The 18,802-nt window shown below is 44.0% G+C and overlaps 2 protein-coding genes across 8 annotated transcripts in view, besides 3 other annotated features; both read left to right on the plus strand.

Annotated features, from left to right (window-relative positions):
- STOX1 (storkhead box 1) overlaps positions 1-11,395 on the plus strand; it is a 67,902-nt gene extending 56,507 nt beyond the window's left edge. For 2 of the 5 annotated variants that reach the window (NM_152709.5, XM_011539454.3), the window contains exons 3-4: positions 223-2,581; positions 8,552-9,023. In NM_152709.5, coding sequence (NP_689922.3) covers positions 223-2,581; positions 8,552-8,699 — 2,507 coding nt within the window. In that variant the 3' untranslated portion in view covers positions 8,700-9,023. Of the gene's footprint in view, positions 1-222; positions 2,582-8,551; positions 9,024-11,204 lie in introns of those variants that run through there. The other 3 variants (NM_001130161.4, NM_001130159.3, NM_001130160.3) reach the window with 3 other exon arrangements.
- Positions 16,531-16,600: an enhancer, noted in NCBI's record as "active region_3469". NCBI's record gives its function as "activates an Ori minimal core promoter by ATAC-STARR-seq in GM12878 lymphoblastoid cells {active_cell/tissue: GM12878}" and the evidence as "EXISTENCE:reporter gene assay evidence [ECO:0000049][PMID:35858748]".
- Positions 16,821-17,050: an enhancer, noted in NCBI's record as "active region_3470". NCBI's record gives its function as "activates an Ori minimal core promoter by ATAC-STARR-seq in GM12878 lymphoblastoid cells {active_cell/tissue: GM12878}" and the evidence as "EXISTENCE:reporter gene assay evidence [ECO:0000049][PMID:35858748]".
- The window catches only part of DDX50 (DExD-box helicase 50), a 45,533-nt gene continuing 44,008 nt past the window's right edge, over positions 17,278-18,802 (plus strand). For 2 of the 3 annotated variants that reach the window (XM_011540144.3, NM_024045.2), the window contains exon 1: positions 17,278-17,434. Coding sequence is in view for 1 of the 3 variants with exons in the window: in NM_024045.2 (NP_076950.1) it covers positions 17,348-17,434 (87 nt within the window). In the remaining 2 variants the exon portion in view is untranslated. Of the gene's footprint in view, positions 17,435-18,018; positions 18,390-18,802 lie in introns of those variants that run through there. The other variant, XM_047425726.1, reaches the window with a different exon arrangement.
- Positions 17,351-17,440: an enhancer, noted in NCBI's record as "active region_3471". NCBI's record gives its function as "activates an Ori minimal core promoter by ATAC-STARR-seq in GM12878 lymphoblastoid cells {active_cell/tissue: GM12878}" and the evidence as "EXISTENCE:reporter gene assay evidence [ECO:0000049][PMID:35858748]".

Here is an 18,802-nt window from a genome sequence, read left to right on the forward strand (position 1 = left end):
TGAACTCCTGGGCTCAAGTGATCCTCCTGCCTCAGCCTCCCAAAACTCTGGGATTATAGGCATGAGCCATCACACCCATCCCTGGCATTTTAATCACATGTATTATGTTACAATCAGCTCTGGGTTTATCAAGCCAATGTGTAGTCATTTCAGAGTTACTGATTTCACTCATTAAAATTTTTCTTATTCAAAATCTATCTGTAAAATGCTTGTCTGTTTTAGGCATTGCAATTCCATCGGAAGATATTCTTTATACCACTCTGGGAACGCTGATTAAAGAAAGGAAGATTTATCACACTGGAGAAGGATACTTCATAGTTACTCCTCAGACTTACTTCATTACAAATACAACCACCCAGGAAAATAAGAGAATGCTGCCATCAGATGAAAGTCGCCTGATGCCAGCTTCCATGACATATCTGGTGAGCATGGAGAGCTGTGCAGAGTCAGCCCAAGAGAATGCTGCCCCCATATCCCACTGTCAGTCTTGCCAGTGTTTCCGGGACATGCACACTCAGGATGTTCAGGAAGCACCAGTTGCTGCAGAAGTGACTAGGAAGAGTCACAGAGGTCTTGGGGAATCCGTATCTTGGGTACAGAATGGGGCAGTTTCAGTGTCTGCGGAGCACCACATTTGTGAGAGCACCAAACCTTTACCATACACAAGAGATAAAGAAAAAGGCAAGAAGTTTGGTTTTAGTCTCTTATGGCGCAGCTTATCTAGAAAGGAGAAGCCCAAAACAGAACACAGCAGTTTCTCTGCTCAGTTCCCACCTGAAGAATGGCCCGTCCGAGATGAAGATGACTTGGACAATATCCCTCGAGATGTTGAACATGAGATAATCAAACGAATTAACCCCATTTTGACTGTTGACAATTTAATCAAACACACTGTCCTAATGCAAAAATACGAAGAACAGAAAAAATATAATAGCCAGGGCACTTCCACTGACATGCTGACAATCGGGCATAAGTATCCTTCAAAAGAGGGGGTTAAGAAAAGGCAGGGTCTGTCTGCAAAACCTCAAGGGCAGGGCCATTCTCGAAGGGATAGACACAAAGCCAGGAATCAGGGAAGTGAGTTTCAGCCAGGAAGCATTAGACTGGAGAAACACCCCAAGCTCCCTGCTACACAGCCCATCCCCAGAATTAAAAGCCCAAATGAAATGGTAGGTCAGAAACCACTTGGTGAGATTACAACAGTGCTAGGTTCCCATTTGATTTACAAAAAGCGAATCAGTAATCCTTTCCAGGGTTTGTCTCACCGAGGAAGCACAATATCCAAAGGGCACAAAATTCAGAAGACGAGTGATCTGAAACCCAGCCAGACTGGACCAAAGGAAAAGCCTTTCCAAAAGCCTAGGTCCTTGGATTCCTCAAGAATCTTTGATGGTAAAGCCAAAGAGCCATATGCTGAACAACCTAATGATAAAATGGAAGCAGAATCCATTTACATAAATGACCCTACTGTCAAACCCATCAATGATGACTTCAGAGGTCACCTCTTCAGTCACCCTCAACAGAGCATGTTGCAAAATGATGGTAAATGCTGTCCCTTTATGGAAAGCATGTTGAGATATGAAGTGTATGGTGGAGAAAATGAGGTAATTCCTGAAGTCTTGAGGAAAAGTCATTCCCACTTTGACAAATTAGGGGAGACCAAACAGACTCCGCATAGTCTGCCATCACGAGGTGCCTCCTTTTCAGACCGAACACCCTCTGCTTGTAGATTAGTGGATAACACAATACACCAGTTTCAAAATCTTGGCCTTTTGGATTACCCAGTTGGCGTGAACCCTTTAAGACAAGCTGCAAGACAAGACAAAGACTCAGAAGAATTATTGAGAAAAGGATTTGTCCAGGATGCAGAGACTACAAGCCTAGAAAATGAACAGCTTTCTAACGATGACCAGGCCTTGTATCAGAATGAAGTGGAAGATGATGATGGTGCCTGTAGTTCATTATATCTAGAGGAGGATGACATTTCTGAGAATGACGACTTACGTCAAATGCTGCCTGGCCACAGTCAGTATTCCTTCACAGGTGGAAGCCAGGGAAATCATTTAGGAAAACAAAAAGTGATTGAGAGATCTCTGACCGAGTACAACAGCACAATGGAGAGGGTTGAGTCTCAGGTGCTTAAAAGAAATGAATGCTACAAACCCACTGGGCTGCATGCTACCCCAGGTGAAAGCCAAGAACCTAACCTCTCTGCTGAAAGTTGTGGCCTAAATTCAGGGGCCCAGTTTGGTTTTAACTACGAAGAAGAACCCAGTGTTGCTAAATGTGTACAGGCCTCAGCACCTGCTGATGAAAGAATCTTTGATTACTATAGCGCAAGAAAAGCCAGTTTTGAAGCTGAAGTCATACAAGACACTATTGGTGACACAGGAAAGAAGCCAGCTAGCTGGAGTCAGAGTCCTCAGAATCAGGAAATGAGAAAACATTTCCCACAAAAGTTCCAACTTTTCAACACTTCACATATGCCAGTGTTGGCTCAGGATGTCCAATATGAACACAGTCACTTGGAAGGGACAGAAAATCACAGCATGGCAGGAGATAGTGGAATAGATTCTCCACGGTAGGTCCATACAAAAGTGTCTGATTTAGGCCGGGCGCAGTGGCTCATGCCTGTAATCCCAGCATTTTGGGAGGCCGAGGCGGGCAGATCACGAGGTCAAGAGATTGAGACCATCCTGGCCAACATGGTGAAACCCCATCTCTACTAAAAATACAACCAGGTGTGGTGGTGCGTCCCTGTAATCCCAGCTACTCGGGAGGCTGAGGCAGGAGAATCGCTTAAACCCGGGAGGTGGAGGTTGTAGTGAGCCGAGATCGTGCCACTGCACTCCAGCCTGGTGATGGAGCAAGACTCTGCCTCAAAAAAAAAAAGAAAAAAAAAGAAAATGGCTGATTAGCCACAGTTCTACAGGAATTATGAAAATCAAGGGTATTTTGTTAACTAGTCAGAGACTACTATCACACTTCTATAATGATACAATTCTGCCAGCTTTTATACCTTTACTGAATAAATTGTATAAAGTTACAATGAAATCTCTTATATAGTAGGATACAGTTTATTTTTAATGTGAACCAAATTTGACTGTCCCCACTACTCATAAATCTTCAATTATTTCTAAAAATAGAAATTTCTGTAAGCCAAGCACTTTCTGAACTGAGGGTTGGAAGTTTTCACTTCTATTCCTGGCTCTACACAGGTTGAGAAAGGGATGTGGCTACTATCCACTAATATTTTATTTTTGAGATGGAGTTTTGTTCTTGTCACCCAGGCTGGAGTGCAATGGCGTGATCTCGGCTCACCACAACCTCCGCCTCCTGGATTCAAGTGATTCTCCTATCTCATCCTCCCGAGTATCTGGGATTACAGGCATGCACCACCACACCCAGCTAATTTTTTATTTTTAGTAGAGACGAGTTTTCTCCATGTTGGTCAGGCTGGTCTTGAACTCCTGACCTCAGGTGATCCGCCCACCTTGGCCTCCCAAAGTGTTGGGATTACAGGCGTGAGCCACTGCGCCCAGCCTAATATTTTCTTTCTTTTTTTTTTTTTTTTTTGAGGCAGAGTTTTGCTGTCGTCCAGGCTGGAGTGCAGTGGTGCAATCTCTGCTCACTGCAACCTCCGCCTCCCGGGTTCAAGCAATTCTCCCACTTTAGCCTCCCAAGTAGCTGGGATCACAGCCATGCACCACAACACCCAGCTAATTTTTGTATTTTTTAGTAGAGACGGGGTTTTGCCATGTTGGCCAGGCTGGTCTTGAACTCCTGACCTCAAGTGATCCGCCCTCCTCAGCCTCCCAAAGTGCTGCAATTACAGGCGTGAGCTGCCATGCCCGGCCTCCACTAATGTTTTCCATGCCAATTTGTTTAAATGTTGTTTGGATTATAAAAATAGTATAGCCATGATAGAACACTTAAGTACTGAAAAGTATTTTTTTTTCTTTTAAAATAGCTAACAATCTTACTGGTTGAAAAATATTTTTTAAAACACCTATACTTATTCTAACACACACACACGCGCGCACACACGCACACACACGCGCACACACACATATATGTTTTGAGATGGAGTTTTGCTCTTGTTGCCCAGGCTGGAGTACAATGGTGTGGTCTCAGCTGACTGCAACCTCCGCCTCCTGGGTTCAAGCAATTCTCCTGGTTCAGTCCCCCAAGTAGCTGGGATTACAGGTGCCCGCCACCACGCCTGACTAATTTTTTGTATTTTCAATAGAGACAAGGTTCCACCATGTTGGCCAGACTGGTCTCGAACTCCTGACCTCAGGTGATCTGCCCGCCTCGGCCTCCCAAAGTGCTGGGATTACAGGTGTGAGCCACTGTGCCTGGCCTAACATCTAGATATTTTTTAAAAATCATTTTATATTTGGTTTGTTTCTGTATAACACTTCAGTCCAAATGTATAGATCTATAGATTTTGTCTACTGGGCTCGTACTGAGTTACTATTTTGCATGTTGCTTTTTAAAATTAATAGCCTATCATATGAACATTTTCCCTATGTTATTTAATAGTTTCTCAAAGGTCATTCTAAAATTTGGTTCATATCTTTGCCAGTATTTTTTTTTTTTTTTTTTTTGCTTTGAGACAGTGATTGACTCTGTCACCCAGGCTGGAGTGCAGTGGTACAATCACAGCTCACTGCAGCTTCAACCTCCCTGGGCTCAAGTGATCCTCCTACCTTAGTCTCCCATGTACCTGGGACTACAGGCATATGTCACTATGCCCAGCTAATTTTTTTTTTTTTTTTTTTTTTTTTTTTTTTTGGAGAGATGGGGTTTCACCATGTTGCTCAGGCTGGTTGGTCTCAAACTCCTGGGCTCAAGCAATTCAGCCTCCCAAACGGCTGGGATTGCAGGTGTGAGCCACTGAGCGTGCCTGGCCCTACACTTTTTTCTATGCATTTGTAAGTTGCTCTGTTGTTTTTTCTTTGAGACAGGGTTGCAGTCTGTCACCAGCTGGAGTGCAATGACACAATCATAGCTCACTGCAGCCTAGGCCTCCTCGGCTCAAGCCATCCCCCAACCTCAGCTTCTGGAGTAGCTTGGATTATAGGCACATGCTACTATACCCAGCTAATTTTTTGTAGAGATGAGGTTTTACAGTGTTACCAGTCTGGTCTCGAACTCCTGGGCTCAAGGGATTCTCCCGCTTCAGTCTCCCAAAGTGCTGGGATTACAGGCATGACCCACCGCACTGGCCATCAGGCTAATTAAAAAGTTTTTTTGATCACTTCTCGGCCTTTTGGCTAAGATCAAGTGTAAAACGTTTTTTTGTGGAGACAATATATTGCTATGTTGCCCAGGCTGGCCTTGAACTGGATTCAACCATCCTCTTGCCTTGGCCTCCCAGTTGTGGGATTGCAGGCATGAGCCCTGTACCAGGGCTTAATAAAAGTATTTTTAACAACAAATCATACAGAGCCATGGCTTTCTTTTTTCATGTAACTTATGTATATCCTGTTATTGATAAATGTAGCTTAAGCTTGGTGTTTGTTTGCTTATTTGTTTTTTGAGATGTAGTCTTGCTCTGTCGCCCAGGCTGGAGTGCAGTGGTGCGATCTCGGCTCACAGCAACCTCTGCTTCCTGGGTTCAAGCAATTCTCATGCCTCAGTCTCCCAAATAGCTGGGATTACAGGCACACACCACCAGGCCCAGCTAATTTTTGTGTTTTTATTAGAGACAGGGTTTCACCATGTTGTCCAGGCTGGTCTTGAACTCCTGCCTCAGGTGATCCACTCGTCTCAGCCTCCAAAGTGCTGGGATTACAGGCATGAGCCACTGCGCCTGGCCTCAAGCCTTTTTTTTTCCTTGCCTCAGCCTCCTGAGTGGCTGGGACTACATGCGTGAGCCACCATGCCCAGCTATTTTGTGTGTGTGTGTGTGTATTTTTTTTTTTTAACAGAGATGAGGTTTCACCATGTTGGCCAGGCTGGTCTCGAACTCCTGGCCTCAAGTGATCTGCCCACCTTGGCCTCCCTGGTCTCAAGTGATCCACCCACCTTGGCTGGGATTACAGGCGTGAGCCACAAGCTTGTTCTTTTTAATGGCTGTTTAGCATTCTGTTATGTGGACTATATATATATGTAACTATTATTTTCCTTTTTTTTTTTAAGAGACAAGGTCTCACACTGTTGCCCAGGATAGAGTACAGTGGTTCAGTCAGGGCTCACTATAGCCTTGGCCTCCTGGTCTCAAGCAAATCAGCCTCCTGTGTAGCTGGGACCACAGGCTTGCACCACCACACCCAGCTGCTGCTGCTTATTATTATTTTGTTAAGAATGAGGTCTCACTATGTTGTCCAGGCTGGTCTCAAACTCCTGGGCTCAAACAGTTCTCCCATCTTGGTCTCTCAAAGTGCTAGGGTTGTAGGCATGAGCCACTGTGCCCAGCCTATTTTCCTTTCTTTGACATTTAGATCATTCCCAATTTTTTGCTATTAACAAATCAATCTGCAGTGAGTTATTTTTACATAAAAATGTTTGTGGGCATTTCTGAGTTTTTTTCTTAGGATATATTCCTAGAAATCTACATTTTAAAAACGTATCATTACTTCTTTATTGGGGGTGCAAGACCTTTTCTTTTTTTTTTTTTTTTTTTGAGATGGAGTCTCGCTCTGTCACCCAGGCTGCAGTGCAGTAGCGCAATCTCAGCTCACTGCAACCTCTGCCTCCCGGGTTCAATTGATTCTCCTGCCTCAGCCTCCTGAGTAGCTGGGATTACAGGCACACGCCACCACGCCCAGCTAATTTTTGTATTTTTAGTAGAGGTGAGGTTTTCACCATGTTGGCCAGGCTGGTCTCAAACTCCTGACCTCAAGTGATCTACCTGCCTTAGCCTCCCAAAGTGCTGGGATTACAGGTGTGAGCCCCCATGCCCAGCTATTAAGTATTTAAGATAATCAAAACATGTCTTCAAATGTGAACAATGGTGGTGTAAACCAAAAAGCCATGGGTTCCTTTTCTTTCTCTGTGGCAAAAACAAAACAAAAACAGATGAGAGACATTACTCCTTGATAGGTGACTAGGAATTTTGATTTGCAAAATTTTGAGAAATTTAATTTCTTAAGGATTGCTTATTTTTAAGCAATATGCTTTCCTGAAAGGCTAGCTATAATTGACAGGCATTTAGAGGAAAGGGAAAGGAAAGTAACATTTGAACATCAACTGTGTGCCATGATGGTTATAAGGATTAGGGGGATAGAGATGAACAAGACATTGTTTCTACTTACAGGAAGTATACAATTTAGTTGGGGAGACAAACAATAAACATAGGCAAGTTGAACTTAAGAACAAAGCATGAGACTTTAACAGTCAAAGAGTGATGGAATTGAGTGATGGGCTGTTTAGAGAAAGACTTATTAGACGAAATATGTTTGAGATATATTTTAATGTAATGGACAGTTGATGGAGAGTAGCAAAGTGGGAAAAGGGAATGTCGAAAAGCAAAAATAGGCTGGACGCAGTGGCTCACGCCTGTAATCCTAGCACTTTGGGAGGCTGGAGCGGGTGGATCACGAGGTCAGCAGTTCAAGACCAGCCTGACCAACATGGTGAAACCCCGTCTGTACTAAAAATACAAAAATTAGCCAGGCGTGGTGGCACGCGCCTGTAATCCCAGCTACTCAGGAGGCTGAGGCAGGAGAATCACTTGAACCCGGAAGGCGGAGGTTGCAGTGGGCCAAGACTGCACCATTGCACTCCAGCCTGGGCAACAGAGTGAGACTCTGTTTCAAAAAAAAAAAAAGCAAAAATACTTTTTTTGTGTGTGTGACAGAGTCTCACTCTGTTGCTGAGGCTGGAGTGTAGTGGGTGCGATCTTGGCTCACTGCAACCTCTGCCTCATAGGTTCAAGAGATTCTCATGCCTCAGTCTCATGAGTAGCTGAGATTACAGGTGTGCACCAGCATGCCTGGCTAATTTTTGTATTTTTAGTAGAGACAGGGTTTCACCATGTTGTCCAGGCTAGTCTCAAACTCCTGGCCTCAAGTGATCTGCCTGTCTTGGCCTCCTGAAGTGCTGGGATTACAGAGCCTACCAAACAGTATTGTGAGTTAGCTGAAGCAAGGCATATGTGTTAGATAATGGGCTAATATAGCTTGTTCCTTCTAGAAAAGAACATTGTAATATTAAAAATATAATAATTTGCTTTTCTCTTCCATATGATTTCTCATAAAAGTAATAAATTTCACAGGAAGATATTGGCCACTTCAGATATATGGAAGTTTTTCGGGGAACTTACTGTTTCTGACTAGAACATACTTGATACTAGATCTGAGAAGAGATGTTTTTCAGAAAATATAAACTTCTGTGAAGGCAGCTGTCAAATAATTGAGATGCTATTGTGAAGCCTTTAAAATGTAAAGAGCACTTCGGATTTTTAAAGGTTAACTTATTTGATAAGTGTACCTTTGTATTAGTAAATGTACTACTTCAAAGTAGCAAATGGAAGTATAATGCCTTGGTTAGAAATTCAAGTTCCCTTCGAAGCCAATAATTCTGTTATTTTTAATATCTTTAGGACACAGAGTCTGGGATCTAATAATTCAGTCATTTTGGATGGACTAAAAAGAAGACAGAATTTTCTGCAAAATGTCGAAGGCACAAAGAGCAGTCAACCACTCACATCTAATTCCTTACTACCGCTAACTCCAGTCATAAACGTTTAATTTTCTTTTGGAAACCTACTTTTTTCTTTATAAAAAGGTAGAGCATTATTACAGAATCTTTCAATCATGTAAGAATTGAGTATATAAGAATTGTCTAAAGGCAAGCATATCTATACTATTAACCACATTACACATTTTGTTCTAATTACTGGCTTTTTTTCCTCTTTTGGTGTCTTAAGGCTTTTTGAAGCTTATTTTACTGTGAGTTTATTGGGAGTATATAGATTATTTTCGATTAAAAAGTGGAATTATTGGTCCCCTTCCAATTGTAATTATCTTGAATTTTTATACATTAGTTTCTCAAATATATAGAATGCCAATTTACTTCCTGTAGTGAATTTTTTTTTAACCTACACTAATATTGAGTTCTAAGTTAAGTGGATCTCACCAGATTTCAACACAAAATCAGAAAACAGTGTGTGTTGAAGCAGTGTCTGTTGCAAGAAAACAGTGTCTGCTGCAAGATATCTATGCAACCCTAGGTCTTTATCATTACCAAGAAAGAGTTTACATAAATGTGTTGGCTACTCTGCAACAAGAATTCCTTTAATCATTGCTGCCCAGGGGCTTCTCTTTGACCAGCTTGGACATGAACAAATGGTTCCCAATGTGACTGACAATGTCGAAAATTCCTGTGGCAAGAGGCATCTGGCTGTACTACTGTTCCTCTGGTTCCTCCCTACATTTCAGGCCTTCTTTGAGATGGAGTCTTGCTCTGTTGCCCAGGCTGGAGTGCAGTCGCACAATCTCGGCTCACTGCAACCTCTGCCTCCCAGGTTCATGCCATTCTCCTGCCCCAGCTTCCCGAGTAGCTGGGATTACAGGCGCCTGCCACCACACCCGGCAAATTTTTTGTATTTTTAGTAGAGACGGGGTTTCACCGTGTTAGCCAGGATGATCTCGATCTCCTGACCTCGTGATCCACCCGCCTCGGCCTCCCAAAGTGTTGGGATTACAGGCATGAGCCACCGCACCTGACCCAGGCCTTCTTTATAGATGGCAGTGAGAAGTCAGATGGTGGAGATAGAATGTGGAGATAGAAGGGAAGCAGAATGGTTACCGAATGGCTTGGGAGTAAAAGGGAGGTTCTGAATGAGAGGTTTAGAGAAAGGTGGAAGGAGTCTGGTAGACATTTAGCAATTCATCTGCATTTTGGTCCATTTCCACTCATGGTAAGACCTAGAATTTTTTCTGTTAAGCTTTTTCAGACCAAGTAGTAGAATGGTCAGTTCTCTTGGGTTTGGGGAATATGGAGCAATCAAGACTGGTTTCAGCATGTCGAGAAGATGATGGTGCTGATTTATGGTTGAGGGAATGTCTTTTCTTTTCTTTTTTTTTTTTGAGACAGCATCTCGCACTATTGCCAGGGCTGCAGTGCAATGGTGTAATCTCGGTTTACTGCAACCTCTGCCTCCCAGGTTCAAGCGATTCTCCTGCCTCAGCCTCCTGAGTAGCTGGGATTACAGGTGTGCACCACCACACCCAGCTAATTTTTTGTATTTTTAGTAGAGATGGGGTTTCACTATGTTGGCCAGGCTAGTCTCGAACTCCTGACCTCGTGATTCGCCTGCCTCGGCTTCCAAAGTGCTGGGATTACAGGTGTGAATGACTGAATAATTGGAGAGTGTCTCTTTCTGACTCTCACCATACTGACAACAGTGAAGTCCAGAGAGAAGCCCGGCACTGGAGAACTTTGTGCAGTCCCTGTGGAAGTGCAAATGACATTCACTGCTCTCTTTTGCAGTGGTCAGCTCACTCACTCTTGACTATTGGCTTTCAGTGGACCCCAACTGACTGACATACCACTGCATTCTTAGAAGATTAATTGTTGTCAAAACAACAGTGTAAACCCTGCTCTAAGTGCCAAGAGAGGTGGGTAATCTGGTATAGAAAAGACTTGTAGGGGAAGTAGAGGTGAGAGTATAGTTTTAGGGGGGTCTCACAGCATGGAATCAGCACCAGTGAATGGAAGTTAAGAGAAGTATTTTAACAACGAAAAAAAAATTTTTTTGAGACGGGGTCTCTGTCACTCAGGCTGGAGTACAGTGGCATGATCACAGCACACTGCAGCCTCGACCTGTTGGACTGAAGTGATCCTCCCACTTTAGCCCCCCGAGTAGCTGGGACTACAGGCGTAAGCCACCAGGCTTGTCTTAATTTTATTTTTTGTAGAGACAGGATCTCACTATGTTGGCCAGGCTGATCTTGAACTTCTGTCCTCAAGCAATCCTCCCACCTGGGCCTCCCAAAGTGCTGGAATTACAGATGTGAGCCACTGTGCCTGGCAGAATTTTATATTAGACAAAGCTATCTGAAGATGAAGTAGGTAGCTTTGGAAAAGAATGAATTTCCCATTGTTTAGGGCATTCAAGCAGAAGCTTGGTGATCCCTTTACTGATATGTTGGAGGGCAATTTCCAGAATTTAGTTTAACTGGCTGGCTGAACTACATGATTTTGAAGAATCCTTCCAACTGTAAGGTTTTTCATTTGTTCTGTTTTTTTAGGAGATGGGGTTTTGCCATGTTGCGCAACTAATGAAGTCCATCTAATTTTGCCACTGGATGCATTATGACACTCTCCCTGTTTTAAAGGAATGTATTAAATGAATCAAGCTCATTATGAAACCAGTAAAATTTTCTCCTATGAAACTCATCATATAACACAGACATTAAAGATGGGAATATGTGCGATTAAATTGTTTGGGAGATTCTACTCTAAAATAGGTGACCTGCATTTTTCTCCCTAGAAATAACTGCTTTTTGTGGCAACTTTAGTTCTTGATTTATCTTTCCTAATGCAGTCTATTCTCTAATGAGAAATCTGTTTTTTTGAGGCAGCTTAATGATCTGAGGTTAGGAGTCAGGCACAAGTTTGAATTCCAATTCCAAATCCTTCGTAGCTGTGTGATGGAGCAAGTCACCAAATTCCTCTGAATTGGTTTTCTCATCTGTCAAAGGGAGATAGTAATGATGTCTCCCTTACGGGATTGTTGTGAGGCTTGGGGATGATCTATCAAAAGTGCCCAATGTAGGCCTGAGCAACCCCACTGTGGGCGCGGCTGTGGAATGGCTTTGGGTCTTGAAAAGAAAAGTGCCCAATGCAGGAGGTACCTAATATTATTATACATATATATGTATGTATGTATTTTAATATATTTTATAGTAACAAAACTTGCTTGATAGGTAAATAAATACATGGCCCACTATACCGGTCCCCTGTTTTTGTCAGGTTGTCTGGAATTACTCCATTACAGATTTAGTCCTTTGGGAAGGTTATAGGATGTATCTGCCATCAAAATCCAGGTATGCCATGGGGAGGTATTATGCCTTTCACTAACAAGTTTTCAGTTGATAGCTTATTTTATAAGTAGGAATAAAATATGCAAAATATGGGCTTATTGTAGACATTCATACAACATACATCCTCTCTCATCTGAGATTTCAGACTCCTAGGGATCCCTGGCATAGCTAGGTTTTTTGCAAACCATTTTCATTATTTCAAAAATCCTAATAGAAATTGTACTCAATTCCTTTGCCTTACTCTAATTCCTTGCTAGCTAAAAGATCCTTTCTTTGCAAATAGTTGAAATTACACCAGCTCAGTAATGCAACACTATCCCATGCTGGTGTGGCAGTTAAACTGCATTTGTGTCTTATTCATAGATTAGAATAATGACCATGGATCAATCATCCCTAAATACAATTTATCAGACAAAATGTTACAAAATTTCAAATCTTTTTTTTTTTTTTTTTTGAGACAGTCTCACTGTGTTGCCCAGGCTGGAGTGCAATGGCATGATCTCAGCTCACTGCAACCTCTGGTTCAAGCAATTCTCCTGCCTCAGCCTCCTGAGTAGCTGGGACTACAGGCACATGCCACCATGCCCAGCTAATTTTTGTATTTTTAGTAGAGACAGGGTTTCACCATGTTGGCCAGGATGGTCCCGATCTCTTGACCTCATGATCCGCCACCTCGGCCCCCCAAGGTGTTGGGATTACAGGCATAAGCCACCACACCGGGCCTATTTTGTATTTTTAGTAGAGACGGGTTTCACCATGTTGGCCAGGCTGGTCTAGAACTCCTGCCCCTGTCCTCAGGTGATCTGCCTGCCTCGGCCTCCCAAAGTGCTGGGAATACAGGTGTGAGCCACCATGCTTGGCACAAATCTTTTTTCTTGTTTCCTTTTTTTTTTTTTTTTTTTTTAAGACGGAGTCTCGCTGTTGTCACGCCGGCTGGAGTGCAGTGGCGCAATCTTGGCTCACTGCAACCTCAGCCTCCCGGATTCAAGCGATTCTTCTGCCTCAGCCTCCTGAATAGCTGGGATTACAGGTGCCTGCCACTACGCCTGGCTAATTTTTGTACTTTTAGTAGAGACAAAGTTTTGCCATGTTGGCCAGGCTGGTCTCGAACCCCTGACCTCAGGTGATCTGCCCGCCTCAGTCTCCCAAAGTGCTGGAATTATAGGCGTGAGCCACCGCGCCCGGCCCCAGATCTTTTTTTATGTAGTGGCGCGCACATACACACACACACACCCCAAACCAAAATGTCAAGTCTATGAGGAAGAGCAATGGAAAGAGCCTGAAGGGAAAAGATTGGGAACCATGGCATTTTGAGAACCTATCTACAGCTACTAAGGCTTTTTGGGTGTTGGGAAAACAGGCTATTGCTTAACAAGGGTGGGGAAGAGCGACATGAATGTCATGAAACAAGAATGGGGGCATCAAAGACAAATTCATCATTACTTTGCTGGTGTCTTACAGGACTTTCTTCCCTTTGAAACCTTAGTAACATTTTTTCCCCTTTGGAAAAAATGTCAGAGGTCCTAAGAGCGGGCCTGAAAAAAGAAAGGAGTAGATGTCTGGAAGAAGCAGAAGCCGCTTCCAAACATTACTTGGATAATGGTGCCCTCTTCTGGGGTGACTGATGTGACAATGTGACTCTGAAACCCTGTCTCCTACTACTTGGTTCAAAACATCCAGAAAGTAATTGACTAAAGAAACAATGAGACTAAAGGTTAAGCACTTACAAAATCATTTAAAAGTTTGAATTTAGGAGCTAGATACATGCATAAATATACATATGATAAATGTATTCAAAGATGTCTCTTTTCCTTTTTTTTTTTTTTTTTTTTTTTTTTGAGACAGAGTCTCACTCTGTCACCCAGGCTGGAGTGCAGTGGCGTGATCTCGGCTCACTGCAAGCTCTGCCTACCGGGTTCACGCCATTCTCCTGCCTCAGCCTCCTGAGTAGCTGGGACTACAGGCGCCCGCCACCACGCCCGGCTAATTTTTTGTACTTTTTAGTAGAGACGGGGTTTCACCATGTTAGCCAGGATGGTCTCCATCTGCTGACCTCGTGATCCACCCGCCTCGGCCTCCCGAAGTGCTGGGATTACACGCATGAGCCACCGCGCCGGCCAAAGATGTCTCTTTTCCAATGCTGTCAAAACCTCAAGCTAATGTAAGCACCTCTGTACCTCATTTCCATAGTGCTGTTATATCAGCGGATCCAATTTCCTGTGCTATCAGCATTACTCTTCTCACTTTTCTAGCAAGATTTTAGAACTGACTTGGTTTAGGTTCCATGGCAATGGGAAAAATACCCTCCTCCTTCCCTCCCATTCTCTTTGCCTTTACGCTCTTTCTGCTTTTCCATACTCAACACTTATTTTGTGCCCCCAATATGTCTTAAATCAGTTTTTAACTGCCACTTAAACTATTTCCATGTCACAGCATTTAAAAATGATGGTTCATGACGAAGCTGCTGGGGATAAAACGTTCAATTCCTCTTGTCACATAAGATTGACGTGCAGACGCAAACAGGTTATTTGATGACTTTTACCTTCAACTCTCTAACTACAGAGTAAAACTAACCTAGTCCTGTAGTTCTAAAAAGATTAGAGAGAGGCAAGTTTGGAAATAGTCATCTTCTTTTTATATCTTTTTTTTTTCTTTTGAGATGGACTTTCACTCTTGTTGCACAGGCTGGAGTGCAATGGCTTGATCTCGGCTCACCGCAATCTCCTCCTCCCGGGTTCAAGCGATTCTCCTGCCTCAGCCTCCTGAGTAGCTGGGATCACAGGCATGTGCCACCACGCCCCGCGAATTTTCTATTTTTAGTAGAGATGGGTTTCCTCCATGTTGGTCAGGCTAGTCTTGAACTCCTGACCTCAGGTGATCCGCCCACCCTGGCTTCCCAAAGTGCTGGCGTGAGCCACCGCTCCCGGCCCTTTTCTTTTTATATCTTAATGGTCAGTTTAAACAAGCTGAGGCAAAGGGCAAGGGAAATCTTTATAGGACCTTGTAACAGGAGTAGCAACTGAAGCACCCAACTCTTAAGTGTTGTAAAAGAAAGTACATCAGTGACTCTGGTAAGATGTTTGGAAAATAAAGATGTTCTAATAAGATTGTATCTTGAATTATTGTGCATTTTAATTATTCATGCACAGTATGCCTCCCCCTAACCCCAAATCTCATCAGACACAATCTCTTGAGATTTACAGACAGAGCAAATATGAAGAAAACAAAGTTCTCCACTCCTGCATCCCGTTCCCACGTTTTCTAGTTGATTGAGGCAAAAATGATATCCCCGGAGAACACATGTGTAATGTGGTACATATTTTTTTCAGCTAAGCCACTCCTTGGTCAAATTACTGACACATCGGTTTATACTTGCCCTTTCCATCTGACACAGACAGCAGCCAGAGATTTGGTTCAGTGAATTTAGGGCTTAGAAAGGCAGAGTCTGTAGTGTTGCAAGTCACAGAAGGTCATTCTAAAACACTCGTATACTTGTTAATCACTTGAATAGGGAGATTTGAACAGTCTACTCCTTTCTTTTTTTTCAGGCCCGCTCTTAGGACCTCTGACATACAAATGAATGCCAAAGAGTGCTCAGGAGCTCAACTTTTACTTCAGCTGTTATTAACCTTCAACCACAAGACAATAACATCTGTTCCTTTTATCCCAATTTTACGTGCGGCATTCTTAGCCATATCTACACTGTGTTTTTATGCACATCATCATACCCTGTTGTAGGGCTATAAAGACCCTACTATGGTAGAATTGGGAGTGGACTGAGGGATTAGGACAAAAGGATGTGGAAAACCGCAGATCTAGAGATGCATAGCTATTCTCATAACCTAGGAAGAGAGGTGGATTTCTCCGTCATCAATAGCTGAACACTCCTTGTGTTTCTAAGTATTGAATCCATAAAGTTACATGCAAACATACAGCCCTTGCCTTCAGGCCAAGCCGTAGTTATGCAGAAGGCTTGAAGCAATCACAGATTTAACATTTGTGGTTCCAGCTATTCAGGACCAATTCCCAAACTCCACGACATGTAACAATTTGTAATTTTGCTAGGACACAGTTTGATGCTTAGGTTTTAAGGCTGGTGTGCTAGACGTTATCAAGTGGTTTGTGAGAGTAGCCCTGTGTCTCCATTGGGTAGAGTAGCTGGGTCGCAAGGATCATGAAGAGATGAAGAAATGGCTGTGAAAAGCCAACTAGCCTCGGTGATAGTAAGCAAAGGTATAGAAACACTAAGGAAGTTACCCTTTGTATTGTCAAAGGTTTCAGTTTTGTGTAAGGTGGTGATTCACGGGCAGTTAATCTCCATCACTAAAATTAAATCCTTTTTTATTCATTGCAAATAGATAATCTGTGGAAGACATTTTGGCTTTTCTCGCTAGCAGAAAATGTGAGGCTTCTTCAGGTTTTTCCTGTTCATTGTTTCACGGGAGCATCTTCCCCAAAACACTGCAAAACTCAAAGTTCTCAGGCTGATGTGGCAGAAAGAGCATTGATCTCGGCTTCAGGAGCTAAATTCTCTAGTCCTGACTGTGCCACTAACAGACTGTGGGACTTCAGACAAGTACATTCCTTTCTCGGGTTTCTTATGTCAAATGGACAGCGTGAGAAGGATCACAATGAACCAGGGATCAGCTTCACGATTAAAACCTAAGACTTAAGAGACGGACATCTGTCCGTTCCTGGCTACACCTCCGGCCCATCTGGCCCACCCCAAACTGCGCGAAGCCCCTCTCCACCGACGCCAGGCCTGTGGCCTCGCGCGAAGCTGTTGGTCGTTAACATCTCCCCCGCAATGGGCGGGATGGAGGGCTTCAGCTTCCGGCTGCAAATGGCGAGGCGGCGCGCGGCGTTGCCCACTGGCCTCGGCATGGGCCTGCCCACGCACCCGCCCAGCGCGCGCCGGACCCTGTCTACCGCCGTTGAAGGGCTTCCCAGCCCTAGCAGTGCGTACTGGGAAGCCCCCAAAAGGCTCTGCGAGGCCGAGGAGACCCGTTCGGAGTGGGGGAGGGGAAGATAAACCGAACTATTTATGTTAATCAGTGCATGCTTCCTTTATGGAGATTGGCCAGGGTTTTACTCTAGTAACCAATCACTTCAGAACAAGGGCGGGCCCGTTGATATCTCTCACACTCATTGGTTGAGAGGTTGCGGCGCAATGGAAGGTCTTAAACCGAGAGTATCCGGGATTATTTTTCCCCGCCGTGCGGTGCGTGTCCCGGAAGTGACGCATGGCCAAGGCCGGGCGGCCGCCTTGCCCCCGCTTCCTTTCACGCTGTCGCTGCCCGTAGGTGGTTGTGGCCACTGTGCCCGGAGGGAGGCGGCGGTGGCCAGTAATGCCTGGGAAACTCCTCTGGGGGGACATTATGGAGCTGGAAGCACCCTTGGAGGAGTCCGAGAGCCAGAAGAAGGAGAGGCAAAAGGTGCGCTGAGCATGGGCCGCGCCTCCTTTTGGGCTGCGCCGGCTTGGGCGGGGAGGGGAACTGTCTGTCCCTGATGATGGCCTGTCAGAACCGGGCCGGAGCATCCGAGGGCCTCCCTTCGCGCCGCCCTCGGCCCTCTGGGGTCGCTCAGGGACCGTTTCCACCTCCACCCTCCCGACCTGGAGAAAGATGGCCCTGGGCTTTGGGCCTCTCCTCCGCGTGGCCCCTCAGCCCTTCCCGTTGGCGCCTGAATCTCAGATGGGCAGACTCAAGCTCCCATCACCATGGAATCTGTTCTTTCTCTCCTGAAGCAGTGACGCTTGCCATTTCGTTTTCATTGGCCCTCTTAGAAGATGATTAAGAAAAAATGATTGCTTTGAATATGTGTTGCTTCTGTCACCCCGTCCCCTGTGCAAGAATCCTGGGGAAAGCGATCTTAGGTTTACAGACCTCAATAACTAGTCTGTAGAGGCTTAAGGAAAAGTGTCACTGAGACTTGCCAGGATTTGTCAGTGATGGAGATCGTGTGGGTTGCATTATTAATAGCCTTTACTGTCAGTATTTTCATTCAATCCGCAGGTGTTTATTGAACCTAATTTGTACCATACTCTTTGCTGAGTACCAAGGAGGTTAAACTAAATAAGTAAAGAAATGGTCTCTGCTCTCAAGGAGCCTGTAGAGGAGTTGTAGTCTTTCCTCCTCCCAGCCCCCTGCCCTCCAAAAAAAAAAAAAAAAAAAAAGGAAAAGAAAAAACATCCTGAAACACTCAGAGGATCACAAGGTGCTGAAAAAATGCCCAGGTAAAATTATTACTGGAGACATTTGACCTGGAAAAAAGAAATCAGCTGAAGAGGCTAAGGTGGCAGTATTCGAAGGCTGACATTCGACAAAAGAATGAGACTTATTTTGTATAGCCTTAGAAAGCAGAATCTACCTCTCTGACCTTATCACTAAGGTAAACTTGCCATTTCAGCTAACACTTTTATTGTGCTAAAATACACATAACGTTTATCATTTTAACCATTTTTAAGTATATAGCTCTGTGACATTAAGTATATTTACATCGTTTTGCAGCTGTCACCATCATCCATCTCCAGAACTTTTCATTGTCCCAGACTGAAACTCTGTGCCCATTAAACACTCACTTCTCATTCCTCTCTCCTTCCACTCCCGGCAACTACCATTCTACTTTCGCTCTGTGAATTTGACTACTGAAGTTACCTAGAGTGTAAGCAGAAAACCAAGCAGGTATTTTAAAAAAGGCTTCTTTTGAAATTCTTGTCTTTTGCATCCCAATCCTGTCCAGCGGTCAAGGCCTAGTTTATGTCTTTCCTGACAACCCGAATGTACCGTTATCTAGTTTCAGTG

Source organism: Homo sapiens, chromosome 10 (assembly GCF_000001405.40).
Source record: "Homo sapiens chromosome 10, GRCh38.p14 Primary Assembly".
In the NCBI taxonomy this organism is placed as follows: domain Eukaryota; kingdom Metazoa; phylum Chordata; class Mammalia; order Primates; family Hominidae; genus Homo; species Homo sapiens.